At 40.0% G+C, this 19450-nt stretch overlaps 1 protein-coding gene across 40 annotated transcripts in view, besides 4 other annotated features; it reads left to right on the top strand.

The window, feature by feature from the left end:
• BNC2 (basonuclin zinc finger protein 2) overlaps window positions 1-19450 on the top strand; it is a 461168-nt gene that overhangs the window by 344079 nt on the left and 97639 nt on the right. The window lies entirely within an intron of this gene.
• Window positions 10114-10674: an enhancer, noted in NCBI's record as "OCT4-NANOG hESC enhancer chr9:16515916-16516476 (GRCh37/hg19 assembly coordinates)". NCBI's record gives its function as "activates a minimal SCP1, AML or CMV promoter by ChIP-STARR-seq in naive H9 embryonic stem cells {active_cell/tissue: H9 hESC(naive)}" and the evidence as "EXISTENCE:reporter gene assay evidence [ECO:0000049][PMID:30033119]".
• Window positions 10689-11255: an enhancer, noted in NCBI's record as "H3K27ac-H3K4me1 hESC enhancer chr9:16515335-16515901 (GRCh37/hg19 assembly coordinates)". NCBI's record gives its function as "activates a minimal SCP1, AML or CMV promoter by ChIP-STARR-seq in primed H9 embryonic stem cells {active_cell/tissue: H9 hESC(primed)}" and the evidence as "EXISTENCE:reporter gene assay evidence [ECO:0000049][PMID:30033119]".
• Window positions 11256-11824: an enhancer, noted in NCBI's record as "H3K27ac-H3K4me1 hESC enhancer chr9:16514766-16515334 (GRCh37/hg19 assembly coordinates)". NCBI's record gives its function as "activates a minimal SCP1, AML or CMV promoter by ChIP-STARR-seq in primed H9 embryonic stem cells {active_cell/tissue: H9 hESC(primed)}" and the evidence as "EXISTENCE:reporter gene assay evidence [ECO:0000049][PMID:30033119]".
• Window positions 11920-12502: an enhancer, noted in NCBI's record as "OCT4-NANOG hESC enhancer chr9:16514088-16514670 (GRCh37/hg19 assembly coordinates)". NCBI's record gives its function as "activates a minimal SCP1, AML or CMV promoter by ChIP-STARR-seq in naive and primed H9 embryonic stem cells {active_cell/tissue: H9 hESC(naive and primed)}" and the evidence as "EXISTENCE:reporter gene assay evidence [ECO:0000049][PMID:30033119]".

Raw genomic sequence — 19450 nt, 5'->3', positions numbered from 1 at the left:
CTAATGGACATTTCTTTGTCTGAGGATATATCTTGGCAGTACAGGATTTCTTCAGACGTGGCTCAGGAAATGGCCGAGAGTAAGGTGAATCACAAGGCAAAAAAAAAAAAAAAAAAAAAAAAAAGCATTAAACTATGTTGGGAAGTAATCCCAGCATTGGTGGACACACATTATGTTTTTAAAAATAAATCCTCCAAGGAGGTAAATCAGTTAGGTATTATGTTGGTTTGGTTTTCATTTGGAAAGGAATTTACCTCGTAAACGATCTTTGTTATCCTTATCTCACTGGGTGTAAGGAGTTAGCAAATGATCACATTTTTAATACCCAGAAAAATACCATATTCTTTGCCACACAGATGTACGCATATGCCACATATACATACATATATGTGTATGTATGTGTTCCTTTATATATAATTAAATACAACAGTGATCTGAAAAGACCAAAAAGAGTAAGAAACTTAGCATTTTAGGGAGAACAAAAACAAAAACCCAGGATGAAGCATTTTAGTTTACCTTTATAAAGATCAGGACAGGTTATGTCTGTAGGAACTTATATACAGTATCTAGTAGATAGAATGATAAAATAAGAAACAAAAAGTATTTAGTCATAAGTTCAAGGATAGACTCTTGATTGTGCTGTATCAAATACACTTTTAAAGTTAAAATGTATTCTAAAAAGGAATACATGCCTTTAGCAAAAAAAAATTATATAAAGGACTGTGGTTGAAAGTAAGTGATATTGGGGTATAGTTCTAGAAATAGTCTGTGCATGTAAAACACAACATATCTTTCTGTGTGTTTGATAAAAATGGTGAAGGGGAATATAGTGAGCACATTATTCTGCACTTTTCCTTTTTCACTTAATAATATATCTTGTAAACAACTTCATATCAGCACATAAAGAGCTACCTCATTCTTTTTTAACAGCTGCATTGTATGGATGTATCGTAATTTGTGTGCCTATTCCTTCATACACTGGTAGACTAGGTGATGAAACATATTTTTGATCTTTGGTATTCTGGTTGTTGATAGGGGATAAATGGTAGTACATTGCTTTTATTTGCATTTCTCTTAATGAGTAAGGTTTACCATCCTTTTATGATTATCAGTCATTTCTGTTTCCATTTTTTTTCTAAACGTCTTTTCAGGTTCTTTCTATATTTCTATTGCGTTGTAAATCCGTTTCATTTTTAGCACCTTTTTGTATCTAAAGAGTATTAGCCCATAGTATATCTGTATTGTGAATAGTTGTTCATAGTTGGTTTTCAGCTCTTTACCTTGTTTTTGCTTTTGCTTTTCATTTGTTTTTGTTGCGTAGTTGGTTTTCTTTTTTTAAGTTTTGTGTGGTTTTATTACCTTTTGATTGACTTTTGATTCTTGAGTCTGGCTTAGAAAGATCTTCAAGTCCTTAAAACAATGTGAACTAGTTAATGTTATCTAGTTATCAATGTTATCTACTAGTATTTTATGTAGTAATTGTATTCAGTGAATTTCAATCTCCTTCCCCCCCCCTCCCCCACTCCGGGTCTCTGTCTGTCACCCAGCTGGAGTGCAGTGGCGCTATCACAGCTCACTGCAGCTTTGACCTTTCAGGCTCAAGTGATCCTCCCACCTTAGCCTTCTGAGTGGCTAGGACTGCAGGTGGTGCCACCACACCCAGCTAATTTTTGTATTTTTTGTAGAGACAGGGTCAAACTATGTTGCCCAGGCTGGTCTTGAACTCCTGGCCTCAAATGATCTTCCTGCCTTGGCCTCCCAAAGTGCTGGGATTGCTGGCATGAGCCACTGCATCTGGCCTGAATTTCAGTCTTACTGAATAAAATTTTTCAGCCAGGATTGTTATTTTCTTAAGGTAATAAATGTTGTTGTATAGAGCTTATTATTAATAAGATTTTTCATTCATCTATTTTTTCTTCCACTGTATTGTTATTTTAATGACATTTATTTACACAGAGTATGTTAAACATGTTCAGTAGATTATTATACATAGGAACATCAGAGTCCTATTTAGCAAATAGACTAATTTAAGCTCCTAATATTTTTAGGTATAATCCTGAATGTGTATTTAGAATAAGAAATCACCCCCCAAAAAAAAACAGGAAATGGAAACAGGAATCAAGGAGATTTGGGCCCTTTCCTTCTAAATTTCCTTAGGGAACTTGTCAGAAGTGCTTACCTAGAAATCTTGCCTGTTTGCACTCTGGCGTCTCCTTACCACCTAGGATGTTCTCTTACTCTGAAACTCCTAACGACCTAGGCAAATGAGAGACCTGAGCTGAAGCCCCATTCACTCTCAGGTTAAATCTGGTGTCTACTAGTAGCTCATACTGTACTTCATTACAGTTTCATCAGTCATTAACACTGGTAGCAGTTTCAAAGGGGTCACAGTCAACTCTGTTGCTACTGGTTTCCTTGTCATTTTATTTAACTTTTTTGTCTTTATTATAATTCGCTTCTTTTACCATGCATGGTGTTCTCACCCCAAGTGCTCATTAGGTAGTAAAGAGGAAAAGGTGGAGATTGAAGAAGCAGCTTATTTCACAGCATAATCTCATATGGTGGTGTTTTGTTTTTTTGGGTGAAGCTAAAATCTGTTAGAGTTGTAAAATAGAACAGTTATTAAAATATTCTTTTTTGAGATGGAATTGTTGTCCAGGCTGGAGTGCAGTAGCACAATCTCAGCTCACTGCAATCTCTGCCTCCTGGACGATCTCAGTTCACTGCAATCTCTGCCTCCTGGGTTCAAGCGATTCTCCTGCCTCAGCCTCCCAAGTAGCTGGGATTACAGGCGTCTGCCACCATGCCTGGCTAATTTTTTGTATTTTTAGTAGAGACAGGGTTTCACCATGTTGGCCAGGCTGGTCTCGAACTATTGACCTCAGGTGATCCGCCCGCCTCGGCCTCTGGTGTTGGGATTATAGGTGTGAGCCACCGCGCTGGGCCAAAAGATTCTTTTAATCTTTTTTTGTATTCTTTTTCCAGAAAGTTTATACCTTTCTTCTCTTTAGTCATACTTTGAAGAGGGTTTAACAAGATTCACCTTCACAGTTGTTTTTCAAGGCAGCGTTAGGACCTGACATTAATTGTTTTTTTTTGTTTTGTTTTTTTTTTTTGTTTTGAGACGGGGTCTTGCTATTTCGTCCAGGCTGGAGTGCAGTGGCGCTATCTCGGCTCACTGCAAGCTCCGCCTCCCGGGTTCATGCCATTCTCCTGCCTTAGCCTCCCAAGTAGCTGGGACCACAGGCGCCTGCCACCCTGCCCGGCTAATTTTTTGTGTTTTTAGTAGAGACAGGGTTTCATCGTGTTAGCCAGGATGGTCTCCATCTCCTGACTTCATGATCCACCCACCTCGGCCTCCCAAAGTGCTGGGATTACAGGTGTGAGCCACCGCGTCCGGCCAGTTGTTTTATTTTAAAAACCCTTTCCGTGTTATGTTTGTGAACAGAGCCATTTTCATTGATACCGCTTTGAAAACACACGAATAGACACTGAAACTCGATACCTGTGTTTTCTCTCACCAGTTCTGCTTCCATGTTTCATTTTCACTGTTCTCAGTCTTCTGATTGAGTGAATAATTAAATGATGACCTGAGAGATTGGTGGGAGTGAACTCTTGGAGCATCCAGCTTTCTTTATGAGGCTTAGACTGGCTTTTCTTTCCCATCATGGTTTTAGGCTTGATAGATGACTTTATACTTTTCTGGACAGCTGGGGGTTAAAACAGAGTGGTGGTTTTGATTTTTGGCATTTTTCAGCTGCTCCTCAGGAGAATATAAAGTGCCTGTGGAGCAGGTCCAAATCGGTGGATGTTTAAGAGAAGGGGGAAAAAATAGCTGAAGAACATTCTTCTGTGACTTAGTTGCCTTCTGTTGCATTAAATGGATGGAAAGGGGGAATAAGTGTTGTGCTTTATCGTTTTTAACATTAAAACTCTTTTAAAAAGCTTCAAACCTTAAAAAACACGAAATGACCTTCAGGCCTCTTGGCTCCCACTGTTCAGGTTATCAAGTCTCAGTCACACCCTCCCCCATCCCTGTAAAAAATCTAAAGAGAAGTGTGAAAAGCATCAGAAAGTCTCCTTTTGCCAGTTCAGCCTTTTAGTCGCTTGCCAGCACCTTCATCTCTTCATATGTCTCTAGCTAAGGTCTTACATGGAACAAAAACCCGACAGCAATGGAGACCAGATGCCGGTATTTCTTCTCTGTCACTTGGCTGCTGAGCAGATGGAATTTATATCAATCGGGCATGCTAGGAGGAAGAGGCCGTGGCAGCCAACATGTGGAACTGGGGCTGAGTGACATTTCTGCTAATGTTTTGTCCTTGTAGAACATTATGCTTCCTCTTTGCTTATGAGCTGTGGTTTTCCTGACTCAGACTAGGTTCCAGCTCCAGCTGGAATGGCTGTTGCTCTTCCCCTCTCCTCCTGCCCCCCTTTTCAGGGAGTGCTGGGAGCTAAGGAGGAGTAGTGGGGCCTGCACAATGGAGCTCTTTATTAAAATACCTGACATCTGCATGCAATGCACCAAAATCATCTCAGCTCAAGCAGAGGAATGTGCTGGGCATTACTAGTCACTTTTTGTCTAGTGCTGTGTGCTTGTTTGATTTATATAATGAGTGAGTGCCTCTGGCAAAAGAGGATGTTGAGCATATTATTGGAGGAAGGGAGCTTTTTAATTTTTTCCAAGAACATTGTCACAGACAGGCCTAATACTCATACAAAAATATGAGTATTTAAAAACGGTTGCAGCTATCCCATGGATTTCTTGCTGTGGCTTAAAAAATGTTACACCCCCCTCTGCTCCATTTAAGGTAAAATTAGAACTCAGTAATCCAATTTAACATGATATGGAGTTTTAATGTTGGTGACTACTGTTAGTAGGAAGTAGCACTTTTAAGGAATCTCACGTTACAAAGAATCTCTGGAAGGAAAACGTAAAATACATGTCAAAAAACCATAAAGGCACACACATAGAAAGAATTATTGGTGAGTCTTTAATTCCCGTCCCCTCCCTCAGAAGAGTACATTACTCTTTTCATACTGCAGGAAATAGGTATATGTGCGCAAATTATATTTTCTTCTCTAATGATGTAAACCATTCACGTTTTACCTATTTATGGCCAGTATATGACGAATACTGCCATGCTAACACGTTATATCATAAAGCACTGAAGTGTCATGACATTGCTGCTCACATTGCCAAATCAGCAACATTGTCCCCATTCCCACTTAGACCTTTTATTTCCGGTGGAAATTTAACTTAAGATTTCAGTTGGGTTGTGGGTACATTCGGAGCACCAGACAGGGGAGGTAGAGGGAGATAGAGCTTCCACTATTTTTGTTCCTTTCTTTTGAAAAGCAGCCTCTGGCAGACCTTTCCTGGTCTCTTCCAAATATGTCGGCCACATCTGTCATATCTTGAGTTTTCTAGAAAACTCCCAGGGCAGGCTAGCCATTCTTTATCTTTAAGAAGCCTAAATTCTGTCTCTTTATCACTTTTTTAAGTGATTCTCCTGTCTGATGTATGTTCCTCTTATATCTTGCTCCATGGTGTGGGGATGGCCCCACAGTTCCCTTGGGATTGAAGTAAACCCATGTAAATTGATGAGAAGCTGGAGTAAAATACTAATATTAGTATGTCTGGAGAAAGACCCAAGTCAGTCATTCTTGGAGGAAATTCTTCAAAATTGCCTTGGATTTCTGTTTTTCTTTGCAATTTTTTTAAAGCTATGCTTGTGCCATACTGAAGACAGGATTTCTTATTTATAAAGTCATTCAAGTGGCCTGATATAAGAAACTTATAGTAACACAACATATATGCCCATAGCTTATGCAGGTACAGTGGAACCTGGAATCACAAAGTACAGTTACTCCTTACTGTGTGAACTTGAGCTCTCTGTACTCAGGAATGATATGGATTCAGATAAATTACTTAGATTGGGCTGCTGGGATGAAAGGAGTCTCCCTTGGTCTACACTCTCTTATGTGCTGTTCAGAGAATGTCCTATCTCTTGCTCTCCAACTCTTGCTATCTATGCTATCATTGTCTAAACACAGGAAGAAGACAGATTTAGGTAGTGAAAAATGTCTGTGCATGCAACTACCTGCAATATTGCAGAGGAATAGGAATCTCATGCTCTCCATTCAGATTGTTCTTACACCAGTTCCTTTCCTTCTCGATTTTGTACTTAACCATTCCTGCTTTTCTTTTTGAATCTTTGGCTTCTTTCTTGTTCAAGGTTTTCTCTCTTGCTTCTCTCCCTTTCCCTCAAAATCACTCACATAATGAAGCACTGACCTTCGATGTTTCCTTTTCTGTGACCCTTATGACAAGAATGCTTCAAGCTGGAAGAGCCCAAGTGTCGGGTTGGTGTTCAGCAGTGTGAGATGATTGTTTTACTCTTGCCTGAGAGTCCCATCAAGAAGCACGGGAAAGGTTTCCTCGTAGGCCTCCTGGAACTACTGTGCGTGTGCATTTAGCTGGAAGAGAAGGGAGCAGACATCATCCTGCAGAAGTCAGATTATGGTAGCCAAAATGTGTCGGTATCTGCCCATTAGAGTTTCTCAAGAAGGATTCTTAAAGATAATTTGATTTGGTCCTTGGATTCTGGGCCTTGCCATGTTTGGTCCCAGGAACTATGGCACTGGTCCCTGCCAGTGTCTGTTGACTGTCTCGTGGGTATGGTCATCTGTCCTCCACTGGAACATAACTCCTTTAGTTCTACCTGGAAGGAGGCCAAACACAGTCTTTGGTGTTGTTTCAAAGTCTGATTCTTTCTCTTGCCAGTTGTATGACTTGAGCAAATTACTTAACCTCCATGAACCTCACTTTTCTCTTCTGTGAAATAGAAATGATAATGTCTACCTTACAGGGTTGTAGAAAAAACTGGAGAAAATGGTAGTTAAGTGCTTAGTACCTAATGAGAACTCCACAAGTAGCAGCTATTTTTGTTGTCATTGTCTGCTAACAGCATGGCAGCCTTGGACAGCCTTTCCGTCTAACCTCATGTTTCACTTGATCAGCAGCAGCCCCAGGTCTAACTAGTGTGCTGCCTTTGAAGTCCACCCACTGCCACTAGGGCTCATTCGCCACTACAAAATGAGAAACTCTCCCAGAAGTGAGGGTTGTCTCTACCTGTCCAAAGGAACACATCTCTACATCCGAAGAGGTTATCTCCTAAATCTGCTAAGGTTGATTTGAGATAAAAGCTCCAATTCCTATCTTTTGGGACTTTACGTTAGAATTTTCAGAATCCTTGTCTCTGGCCCTTGATCCATTCAACTAGGGCTACTCCTCTTTCCAGCTCTAGACAAAATTTCTTCTGTAAGAATCACCCCCTCATACCTATCCCTCCCCTCTATTGCTAATGGAATGCACTGGGATTTATCATGCAAATGAAGGTCACACCTCCCAGAGACACAGTCCCTAGACACTACTGGGTTATATTTTAATGACAGCTGAGAAGGTAGGGCCAGTAAAGGAGGCATTCATCCCTGTTTAAAAGAAAACGAAGCACAGTGCTTACCTCTGTCTCTTTCTAAAAATTAATCTGACAATTCTGGCAAGCACACCTTCTCTTCTCAGCATAGAGACATGCTGATAACACACTTGCTTTTTGTTTGTTTGTTTGACTCACCAAACTATATGATAAAGACATTTGTTTTCTGGTTTTATTAAAATATGACTTTAGGGCCGGGCTCAGTGGCTCACGCCTGTAATCCCTGCACTTGGGGAGGCCGAGGCAGGTGGATTGCCTGAGGTCAGGAGATCGGGACCAGCCTGACCAACATGATGAAACCCTGTCCCTACCAAAAATACAAACATTAGCCAGGCATGGTGGTGGGCACCTGTAGTCCCAGCTACTCAGGAGGCTGAGGCAGGAGAATCACGTGAACCCGGGAGACAGAGGTTGCAGTGAGCCAAGACGGTGCTACTGCACTCCAGCAAGACTCTGTCTCAAAAACAAAACAAAAAACAAAAAACAAACAAACAACAACAACAACAACAAAAAATATATATATATATGACTTTTGCACCTGTACATCCCAAATCTCATGTAACAGAGACTTTAGTAGAATATGATTAATAATAGTAAGGTGGGGGCATTTGCCCTTTATACCTAAAAGGCATGTTTTCTATTTTTATTTTATTATTATTATTTTTAAAGATATGGTTTCGCCCTATTACACTGGCTGGAGTGCAGTGGAGTACTCAGTACAGCCTTGACCTCCTGGGTTTTTGCAATCCTCCCACCTCAGCCTACTGAGTAGCTGGGACCACAGGTGCACACCGCCATGCCCAGCTAATTTTGTATTTTTTATGTTTAATAGAGACAGGGTCTCCCTATGTTGCCCAGGCTGGTCTTGAACTCCTGGGCTAAGTGATCCTCCCGCCTTGGCCTCCCAAAGTACTAGGATTACATGCATGAGCAACCACGTTCAGCCATATTTTTAAATTTAATTTTCATTATTATATTTTTATAAATAATTCAAGCTACACCGAAGTATATATAATAGAAAATGAATACACACATCTATTGTCCCTTCTTTCCAGATTTCACTCTCAAGATGCAACTGGTAGGCCCAATAACCAGTCTGTGTTCCTTCGAGACCAGTAAGTTTTAAGGGATTTGGTAGAAACCCTGGCATGAGATATTTGTGCCAAGTACCATTTCGGATTGGTTTACACATCTGAAGTATGGCTGAGAATTCTGCAATTATCTAGTATATTAATCATCTTAGAAAACTCAGGACCCTATGACTTGTCCACCCTGCTTTAGAAATAAAAATGTATATGGTTACATGGAACCTACAATTTACTGTGTTTATATAAACACCCCAGGCATATTTCCTTTCAAAAATGAAATGAATGATATGATTTTTTTGTCTCCTTTAAGCTTTGGAGGAAGGAAGTAAACTAATGAACTTTATGCTCTTGTAAATGTAATGCTTTGCATCATAGGACACCAGGTCAGGTTTGTACATTTACTTAAGTTTGTGTGCACTTGTGTACGTGTGTGTGTGTTTGCAATTAATTTGTCAGGTAAATTACAGCATATAGGAATTACCCTCCCACTGCCCCTTCTTTCTGGCAAGCAATACTGTTTAAAACACATACTCATGATCAGAATTGGGCTAAAACATTTTGTAGAGCTTTATTTATTTAATGAGATACCACTAAAGCCTTAATACTGTAAGGCAAATATTGCAGTGAATGCCAGTATTTCAGTATATAGTAGCATATCCTTGCCTTTCAGTCTGTTAAGATTGACTAACATTTAATTACCTTGCCTATGTTAAAAAAGGAAAGAAATTACCTTATAGGGATATGCAAGCTCCTGAGGTTTCTCAGCTGTGAGCCCAGCCAAGTTGCCCTCCTCCAACTGGCTACTTCCCTCCTCAACACACAGAACCTTATACACAACAGTAAATAACCCTCAATAAATTTGAATCTTATCTCAATCTAAAGACACCACCATCATTATGGGGGAATGTTGTTAGTCCTCAAAACCTCAGTCAGTTTAGAACAACACAGCAGTATCCAAACTTTTTGGCTTCGTCTGGATATTGTTACTGCAAGTGTTGGTGCTGCATTCCTGGATGCCGTTTACAGAGTGATTTCTTAAACATTGGTTGTGTCACAGTGCAACTGACCAGTTTAAAGCCTTTTGCTATTTTGCTCACAATCAAAGAAACCAGAAACATCTAATTAACGTTTACCTCATTTAGAGTTAGAATCACCTGATTATTTTACTACATTTGGAATAAGCATAAGAGATGCTTTTAATACGACAAATTTTAAAACTATCTGGATTAAAACACCTTTTTATTCACTTTTTTATTAAGATAAAACTATAAATTAATAATTAGTCTCCTATTAGTCTTAAGAGATTTTTCAAATGACTTTGGATTTTAAGATGAAAAAAGAAAAAAAAAGAAGCACACATTTAACTGAGTTTGTTTTGTGTGCTTGTTTGTATATTTAGACTGTGTGTACTAGAAAGAACCCGCTTTGGGATAGAAATAAAGACTCTTTGAGTTCTCACCCTGTATTGGGGGGGTTTCTGGGTACCTATGTATGTAATTTGGACATTGATGATACATAAGTGATATTTATCTCAGTTGGTATAGAAGGTCTCATGAGTTATCTTGACAGCTGCATAACTGTTATCCACTGTAAACTCGCTTCTTTAGGTTAGTGTGGTTAGTTTTTTTTTTTTTAAGTTTCCGCATAATCATTGGGGAATCTTAGCATTTAACTTGCAAACGCTTCTCAGAGTTCTGATACCTGAGGCGGCATCACAAGAACGTTATCTACACCAGCCCCATCTTGGTAGGACTGAAAAAAAACAAACAAACCAAGAACAACACAAAGAAAATGCATGTTAATGTGGCTGAATATTCATTAGAACCCTGCGGCCTGGGGCTGGAAGCACAGTTAGGCTGTGTGTTTACCAGGCCACCCGAAAGGCAAGAGGGCATAAGGCACTTAGAAACAGTGGCTCAGCTCAAGCAGTGTTGTCTTTGAAAAGTTTTCATTTTCCCTTGAATCAGCTACAGTCTCTTACTTAAGGTCACTGCAGTTTGCAATCTTTGGCAGAAGACTTCTTCCTTTTATGGTAGTGGCAGTCTGACTTTTTTTTTTTTCCCTTTTGGAAGTGTTTTCCTCTCAAACTGCCATTATCTTCCAAACCTGTTTCATGTTACAATTGTCAGATGCCTCTTTTCTGAATTTCTTAGAACATAATGCAATGAGATGTATATATATATATATCTTTTTTTTAGCATGGAATTGAAAGTCATATGGTTATGATTTGAGAATGTCAAGCTTGATTTTTTTTTTCAGAGGTTTTTTTTAAATTTTTTTTTTTTTTCAAATTGTACCTTTTTCTCTGGGCAGTGAACTCACTGCAGAGACATCAAAGAGAATGTGTACTGGATCAAGGTGATTTTTTTTCGACCACATCATTGCCAGCTGTGGTGTTTATGATTAGAGACAGACGTTCCAGACACCTCCGAGTCCTCACTAAGCGTCAGATCTTTAACGGGATCCATCCCAACTGAGTGACACTAAACAGACAGCCAGAGGGGAGTTGGTGGGATAGAACAGGGAAGAGGGCGGGTGAGGGTGAGGGAGGCTTTGGTGCCGGGTGCATTCACCAGCCAAGCTCCGCTAATGCCAGGCTGCAGGCTGCCCAGAGGCCCCGTAGCATTCCTTTCAGCACAGCTTTCATTAGCCAAGGGGATGACTGGAGCCCAGCAAACACAGTCATTGATCCTCTTCTCACCGGGCGCAGGGATGCAGTGTTCAGGTCACAGCCCAGTCGGCTTTGAAGCGGCTCCATTTCAGACACTGACAGCCACAGACTATTGGCTTCTTGGAGCTGACATGATTCCCTCTCGGATCTCCATGCTCTGCTCCATGCAGCTAATGATGTTGAATTCCCTCTGGATGTTGCTTCCACTTGCAATATTAACACTTGTTCAGTGGTCCTATTGATGCAAGAATTATGTAAATAGCCAACAGTACTGATAGCTGTGCATTAAAGGGAGTTCTCTTTCCTCCCGTCTGTTCCCTTCTGGGTCAGTGTAACTGCCAGACAGTTTTGCTGGTTCCAGAAACCAGAATATATATCTGGAATCAGTAATCAATGTGGTGGTTTGGAGTTCAATAATTGGAATTTTTAAAATCAAGATGATCTGCTTATCCAGTGATTGCCATTAGCAATGAAGAAAGAAATGGTTTTGTTGACAACTACTTATTTCTCTCTCCATGTGAAAGTGTTTTTTTGTTTGTTTGTTTGTTTTTCAATTCTGTCATCATCGAGACGTGGATCCCTTGCTAACAACAGTTCCTGGTGACTATAGAAATTAAGACTCCTTAGAAGAAAAATGTTATTATTACAATTCAAAAAAGAAACAAATGTGCTCACCTGTTGGTGGGAGGACAACTGAAATTTGCATGTCAACTGTAAACATCTGAAAGATAAATAAGAGAGGAAAGAAAGTTTATGATACAGATAACAGATTGCTAGTACAGAGCTGCTTTTTCAGAACCTCTCCTTTATTACCAGTATTTTTCCCCCCTTTTTAAAAAAAAATCTAAACAATTAGATGTCAGCATTGGGTGAAAAACACATAACAAAAGATTCTGGCTTTTGCTCATCATTCTGATCTCCCTGCTCTGCATACTGAAGCCCCACTTCCTTTTGTTGTCCTCCCAGTGGAATTTCAGCCACTCAGACCAGTCAGGGGTGTGTTGGCAGCTATCCTCTTTGAATGGTAGAGAGTACATTTATTCTTTGCACAGAAGGAACATGAAAATTTGGTTTGAAACCTAGTAACTCTCAGGCTGCATGGTCTGGAGACAATAGAAGTATTTCATCCCTTGAAACCAGACGAATCTTGAGTAATCAGGTGAACCTGCCTTGCTGGCTGGTGGTGCTTCACTGAAGGGTTGGACCAGGGTGTAGAAAGGACTTTGGTGGTTCAGATTTCCACTGGAAAACTGTGACATCCTGCCATCTCAGAGAAGAAAGTTGCAGGAGATAGCCACACGTATAGGTGATTCCTGCTTATCTGGCTAATAATATTCTTGCTAATATTTTTGAAAAGAAATTAGTTTTGGGCCTTCACGGAAGCTAACATTTAATCTCATAGGGCATAAACACGAGCGTAGGGTGGAATAACAGCCTAATGTTTTGAACCCCATGAATTTGCTAATCCATAGGAAGTTCCATTAAGAAACTCCCTAGTTCATCATTCATAGTATTTCACCTGTAGCTCTAATCCCCAGGCCCATGACTGCCCTTCTCTCTTCTGAGTTGTGTGTCAGTCTTCAACCTACGGTCCTTCCCGACTATGGACTCATGTACAACTCTGAATGAAACTAGCATCTTTCAAAGAAGAGTCTAGTTTTCTTCCTGGTCCTGTACCCCTCTGTGTTTCGTTGTACTAGAGAAATTTCTTATTTATTAAGAACCTTTTCGGCCTGGCGCGGTGGCTCATGCCTGTGATCCCAGCACTTGGGAGGCCGAGGCGGGAGGATCACGAGGTCAGGAAATCGAGACCATCCTGGCTAATATGGTGAAACCCGTCTCCACTAAAAATACAAAAAATTAGCGGGGCATGGTGGCAGGCACCTGTAGCCCCAGCTACTCGGGAGGCTGAGGCAGGAGAATGGTGTGAACCCAGGAGGCAGAGCTTGCAGTGAGCCGAGATCGTGCCACTGCACTCCAGCCTGGGCAACAGAGCGAGACTCTGTCTCAAAAAAAAAAAAAAAAAAAAAAAAAGAACCTTTTCTCATGTCTTAGACCCGTGTCTTCATAAAAGCTATTTACTTTAATAAAGTTTTCACATTTTGAGGGGAAAATAGTAATAAATAACATTCTATACCTTTCATTTGCATGAACACTTTATTTCATTATTATGTTTTTCTTTTCTTTTCTTTTTTATTTCATTTGAGACAGAGTCTCATTCTGTCACCCAGGCTGGAGTGCACTGGTGTGATCTCAGCTCCCTGCAACCTCTGCAGGTTCAAGCGATTCTCATGTCTCAGCCTCCCAAGTAGCTGGGATTACAAACATGCGCCAAAATACCCAGCTAATTTTTCTATTTTTAGTGGAGACGGGTTTCACCATGTTGGCCAGGCTGGTCTCGAAATCCTGGCCTCAAGTGATCTTCCCCCCTCAGCCTCCCAAAGTGTTTGGATTTCAGGCATGAGCCACCACGCCCAGCCATATCTCATTATTTTTTAAAAGTTTATTTTGTATGAAGAAAGTTATGCTTTATGCCAGTGCTACCCTTCTCCAGTAAAACAACTAATTGATGGTTGAGATGATTGTTTTATTTGATGAAAAATGATACTTTTATATCAAAAAGATTCTTACTAGTTTTTTATAGAAACCCCTTAAAACATCAAAGTTTTATAGTGTACATAAAAGATGTGTTTGTCCACATACTAACCTCGCAAATAAATGTATAAAGTAAAACAACAAAGTAGTTTTATTAGATGTGCCTTTGTCATCATGCAACAAGTTAGTTCAGTTGGTTGTTTATTTAATTACATTGTGCTCAGGTTCTATTTGTGTGTGTGTGTGTGTGTGTGCGCGTGTGTTACCTTTATTGGTCTTTAGGACTGCTGTGTGTCAGCATTATCCCATTTTACAGGTTATGCCACGGAGGCAGAAACAAGCTCTCATCAGTTTGATTGTGAGTTATTGGCTTGAGGATTATTATGACTCATGATATTTTAGTGTCCTCAGTAACAATAACTTTTTAAATTGCTCAGAATTTTATTTACCACATGTTGAAATAGCATGATTTTTAAAAGTACTCAGTCCTTCTATTTGACAGAATAGAATAATTTCATCAGTAATTTGATGATCAAACACCCTTTTAAGGATTTCATTTCCTCATCACTTCAAGGAAAGAAAAAATATTAATATTGAGGAGGGTAATGCGTGTGAAGCTTTCTTCAAATTATGTTTGTGTGTATTCACATGTGTATACAATAGATTAATAGGTAAAATAGATCAATAGATTAATCGCTTGATTCAAACAAATAAAAGTAGGTTTCACATAAATTTTTGATTCTGTTGTATATATTTGCATTAGTATTATAAGTATCATAATGAGATTTTTACGGAGAGCACTTTTGATGGAATTTTAAATGAATGTTTTAATGTATTATTGGCTGGCACAGACACACAAGTACACAAATCCTTTAGTGTGATGGCCTTGTGCTTGTTTTGGTGAAATAGTATTACTTCTATGATACATGAAAAAATACCTTTGCTTACTTTATCGGCAAAAGGTCTTTATTCTTCTGCCCCTGGAGTTAGGTTAAGAGTATATTTATTAGCCAGGTGCAGTGTGTCTCACGCCTGTAATCTCAGCACTTTGGGGGGCTGAGGCCCATGGATTCCTTGAGCTCAGAAGTTCAAGACCTGCCTGGGCAACACAGCGAAACCCCGTCTCTACAAAAAAATACAAAAATTAGCCAGGCATGGTGGCTTACACCTATAGTCCCAGCTACTTGGGAGAATGAGGTAGGAGGATCACTTGAGCCTGGGAGGTTGAGACTGCAGTGAGCTATGTTTGAGCCACTGCAGTCCAGCCTGGGTGACAAAGCAAGACCCTGCCTCAAAAAAAAAAAAAAAAAAAAAAAAAGTAAATTTATTGCCAGGCATGGTGGCTCATGGCTGTGATCCCAGTGCTTTGGGAAAACGAGGTGGGACAATCCCTTGAGTCCAGAAGTTCAAGACCAGCCTGGGTAACATAGCAAGACCCTTTCTTTACAAAAAAATTTAAAAACCAGCCAGACATGGTGTCAGGTGCCTGTAGTCTCACCTACTCAGGAGGCTGAGGTGGAAGGATCCTGTGAGCCCAGGAGTTTGAGGCTGTAGTGAGGTATGATCGCACCACTGCACTCCAGCCTGGGTGACAGAACAAGACCTGTTTCTTAAAAAAAAAAAAAAAAAAAAAGTAAGTTTAGTGATCTCCATTAGCTTTTCTGAGAAAGATTTCATATTAAACAAAAGCTAAGTGGCTATTCCAAGTTTTGCCTATCCTTCTCTCTGCCTTTTGTGGAACAAATGTGTGTTTCCTGACAGCCTTCAGGTATATGTGTAGGTCTGAAAAAGTATTTCAATGAGAATTGCATATTGAGGTCATCTGGAAGGAAATGTAATATTTTGCCCATGTAAAATCTCGCAATCATTACTCAGATTAAAGACAAAGTGAAGCCAGCTAGCTCAGTTAAATTTTCAGTTCCCTCACTTTAGCACCAAATACCACCCTGGCAGTGAATCACCTGAGAATTTCATCCATCACTCAGTGATAAAATTTGATAACATTTGTAGGTCAATTTATTCCCCTGGAATTTCCTCTACACCTTCCCTATCCTGTCATGTGCCATAGTTTGAGGAAGAGGAAATGATTCAAAAATCTGTAAAGGCTTATCTGTTGATTTCTGACCTAGGAAAAAGAAATTAACCAAGTTTTAGGTCTTGTATTTGAAGAGCTGGTGCAAATATATACAGCATGTAGCTATGTCGGGACTTGGTGAATTTCCCTGACTTTGTAGATTATACACCAAATGTAAGGGTAAGCGAAAGAAGAAAGAGTACGTGAAAGGAGGTCAGATACCTCTGTGTTTCCTGCCTTTTTATATCCTAATTTTATTACAGAGGGGCGTTAAGTGGATCTCCTTGCTTTCTTTTCATGACGAAGTAGGAGACTTTCCTTTTGGTAGCTATTGTGCACCTCTAGGAAAATCAGCAACTCAGCAGAAAGGAAACCAGGATGCAGGCCTAGCAGGAGGCTGTCCACCCAGTGAGGAAGTTGGACATTTTCTCTTTTGTAGAGATGACTGATGATCTGTGGAAAAAGAACAGTGGGCACTGAGGCCAGCTTCTCTAAGACAGCTTGAGTGAATGTGTGGCTAGCGCTTCCTTGATTAACAGAGGTCTCCCTGACCGTGGCAATGTGTTATGACTCATAGCCTTGCAGAGATGAATTGTTCCTGAACGGTTTCTCCAACATCTGAGATACAAACAGGTCTTTTAGCCATTTGCTAGACACCAGAAGAAAAAATGGTCTAACCAGTGTAAGACCTGGAAACAGCCTAGAATCTTCAAAAATACTTGCACTCAAAGTCACCTTAATTTTAGAACCCAAAATCTGGACAGAGAACCATGTCAGCTAACCATTACAGTTGAAAGTTCATCCAGGTGACCTCTGTTTCTTAGAAATGTACAAACAACCTCTACATATTTCTTCTTTAGTAGTTAAATGACTTTATAACTTGGAGCTTTGGAGATTCTTTTTAAAATAGCAAGTAATACTGCTTTCTTTGGCCAGATAACAATTTTCCTGCTTTCCTGAATAGAAATTTGACAGGTTTTGGAACCTTATACTTTGGTATGGAACTGAATAGATCTTTGAAGCCTTCAGAATTACTTTTACCCAGGTTAGTAACTTTGACTTACTCTCAGTTTAAACTGTTCCTTTTGCTATCCTGGTTTTCTGTAACTGGGATGGATATGCACAGAGGAGTCGGTTGTTTCTTAATACTGTTTTAGAAAACCTTGTGACGTGGTATGGATTCCCAGTATGTCTGATACCAATGTTACTAGTGAAATTGGCTGAGTAACTTATGTGTGCAAGGTCCTTACTCCCAACAGTTAGAGACATTTATGTGTTTCCTGTCCTCGAGGACTGTAGACAACAGCTGCCTTGCATGAAATGATTGTAGTACATTTACCAACATTTATATGCCAATAAGTAGAAATGTATATGTTAGAATTTGAGGATTTAAGTGTTGAGGTGATCTGTAAGAGAAGATACCAGAGCCAGGTGGCTTTCTTTGACAGCTTCCTGGAGAAGGTGAGACTTGTGCCTAGATATCAAAGTTGCTGAAGATGAAGTGGACATTTGGGGTGAGTTTAAGATGTGCAAAACATTGGCTGAACATGGTGGCTTACGGTTGTAATCTCAATGCTTTGGGAGGCTGAGGGAAGGAGTTTGAGGCCAGGAGTTCAAGACCAGCCTGGGCAACATAGTAAGACTCTGTCTTTACTAAAAATAATAATAATTAAAAAAACAGCCAGGTGTGATAGCATGTACTTGTAGTCCCAGCTACTTGGGAGGCTGAGGCAGGAGGATTGCTTGGGCTCAGAAGTTCGAGGTTACAATGAGCTAATTGTGCCACTGCACCCCAGCCTCGGTGACAGAGCAAGACAATGTCCTAAAAAGAAAAAAAAAAAAAGATGTGCAAAACATACACAGAGGAGGGAAAGAGTAGAGAAGTAGACTGATTTGTGGGCAGAAGGCAGAATATCCTGGATAGAAGAAAAGCAGATAGTTGAAAAATTAACTTTGTGGGGGCTAGCATAGTGTATGAAAATTTGGATTTGGGCCTCTGGGCATAAAGAGCCAAGAACCAATAAGAATTTTGACCTGCGTGGAACAATAGGATGAAAATTTCATGACCAAAGAATTCTGGCCATAATAAATTCAGGTGTGAAGAAATTAGAAGAATTTTCTTCAGATATTCAAGCCAACATGTACATGCCAGAAATACAACAGAATGGATAGTGGCTTGAACGTCTTGTAGGGAGAGAATCAACAAGAATTATGATGTTTTTTTACTGAGCATTAATAGTGAGAGATCGAAGGACTGTGTCTCTTTTGTTGCTTTGTATTATTAATTGCAAGATGTTGGTGATACAGTCTACCCAAGTATGTGGCAAGAATTCTACATACCAAAACCTGTTTAAGAGTTGACTGATGTGTTGGAAATGTCCGCGATGATCAAGTCCAAGATGTCTTTGACCAGAAGTCCTGAGGACCTATGGAGCAGAATAAGTAAGTCTCCTTTTAGGGTTTATAGCAGAATCTTAAAATTTGTTAGTGTGTTGAATTATGGACAAAGAAGCAATGCGGACCTTTGTTGCAGTACTTAAACTTTATATGCTGTTGTTACCTGTTTTATCTCTCTCACTAGACTTCAAATTCCTTGTGGCAGAGAAAGTATTTCTTGCTTATCTTCTTATACTCTGTGCCTAGTAAAATGCTTGATAGGTCATCAATACTCAATGACTAAAATTTTCTGTAATTTGCATTCTCATTGGTAGTGAAGTATTATAATAATGAACGATTGTTATGTACTGTTCCATTTAACTCTATTTTGGAATGTTCTCAATAGTTTGGCCGCTTTAAGCAAGTGGGAGAATATTCTCAATTATATTTGGGTTTGTACTAGTGCTATGTGTAATTAAGGTTCATTTATTTATTACTAAGTGTTTATTATGGACCTACTATATGAGCAAGTTGTTGAATGGAAGCGTAGAAGAAGGAAATAGGCCAGGCGCGGTGGCTCGCACCTGTAATCCCAGCACTTTGGGAAGCCAAGGCAGGCGGATCACAAGGTCAGGAGTTCAAGACCAACCTGGCCAACATAATGAAACCCTGTCTCTACTAAAAATACAAAAATTAGCCAGGCATGGTGGTGCGTGCCTGTAGTCCCAGCTACTCAGGAGGCTGAGGCAGGAGAATCGCTTGAACCCGGGAGGTGGAGGTTGCAGTAAGCTGAAATTGTGTCACTGCACTCCAGCTTGGGCAACAGAGTGAGACTTCGTCTCAAAAAACCAAAGGAAAAAAATGAGCTAGGTGTGGGGGCATGCGCCTGTAGCCTCAGCTACTTGGGAGGCTGAGGCAGGAGAATCGTTTGAACCCAGGAGGCGTAGGCTGAGCCAAGATCAAGCCACTGCACTCCACACTCCGGTATGGGCGACAGAACGAGACTCCGTCTCAAAAAAAAAAAAAAAAAAAAAAAAAGCAAATGGACACACTGCCCTCAAAAGGCTTGTAGACAAGGGAGAAAGATGAGATTTCTCTATTAATAACTGCACTGTTTGGTAGAAAATACTATGTACAATATGAGATG

This window comes from Homo sapiens, chromosome 9, assembly GCF_000001405.40.
Source record: "Homo sapiens chromosome 9, GRCh38.p14 Primary Assembly".
In the NCBI taxonomy this organism is placed as follows: domain Eukaryota; kingdom Metazoa; phylum Chordata; class Mammalia; order Primates; family Hominidae; genus Homo; species Homo sapiens.
The sequence above is the reverse complement of the archived record's forward strand: the minus strand, read 5'-3'. Positions and strand labels throughout refer to the sequence as shown.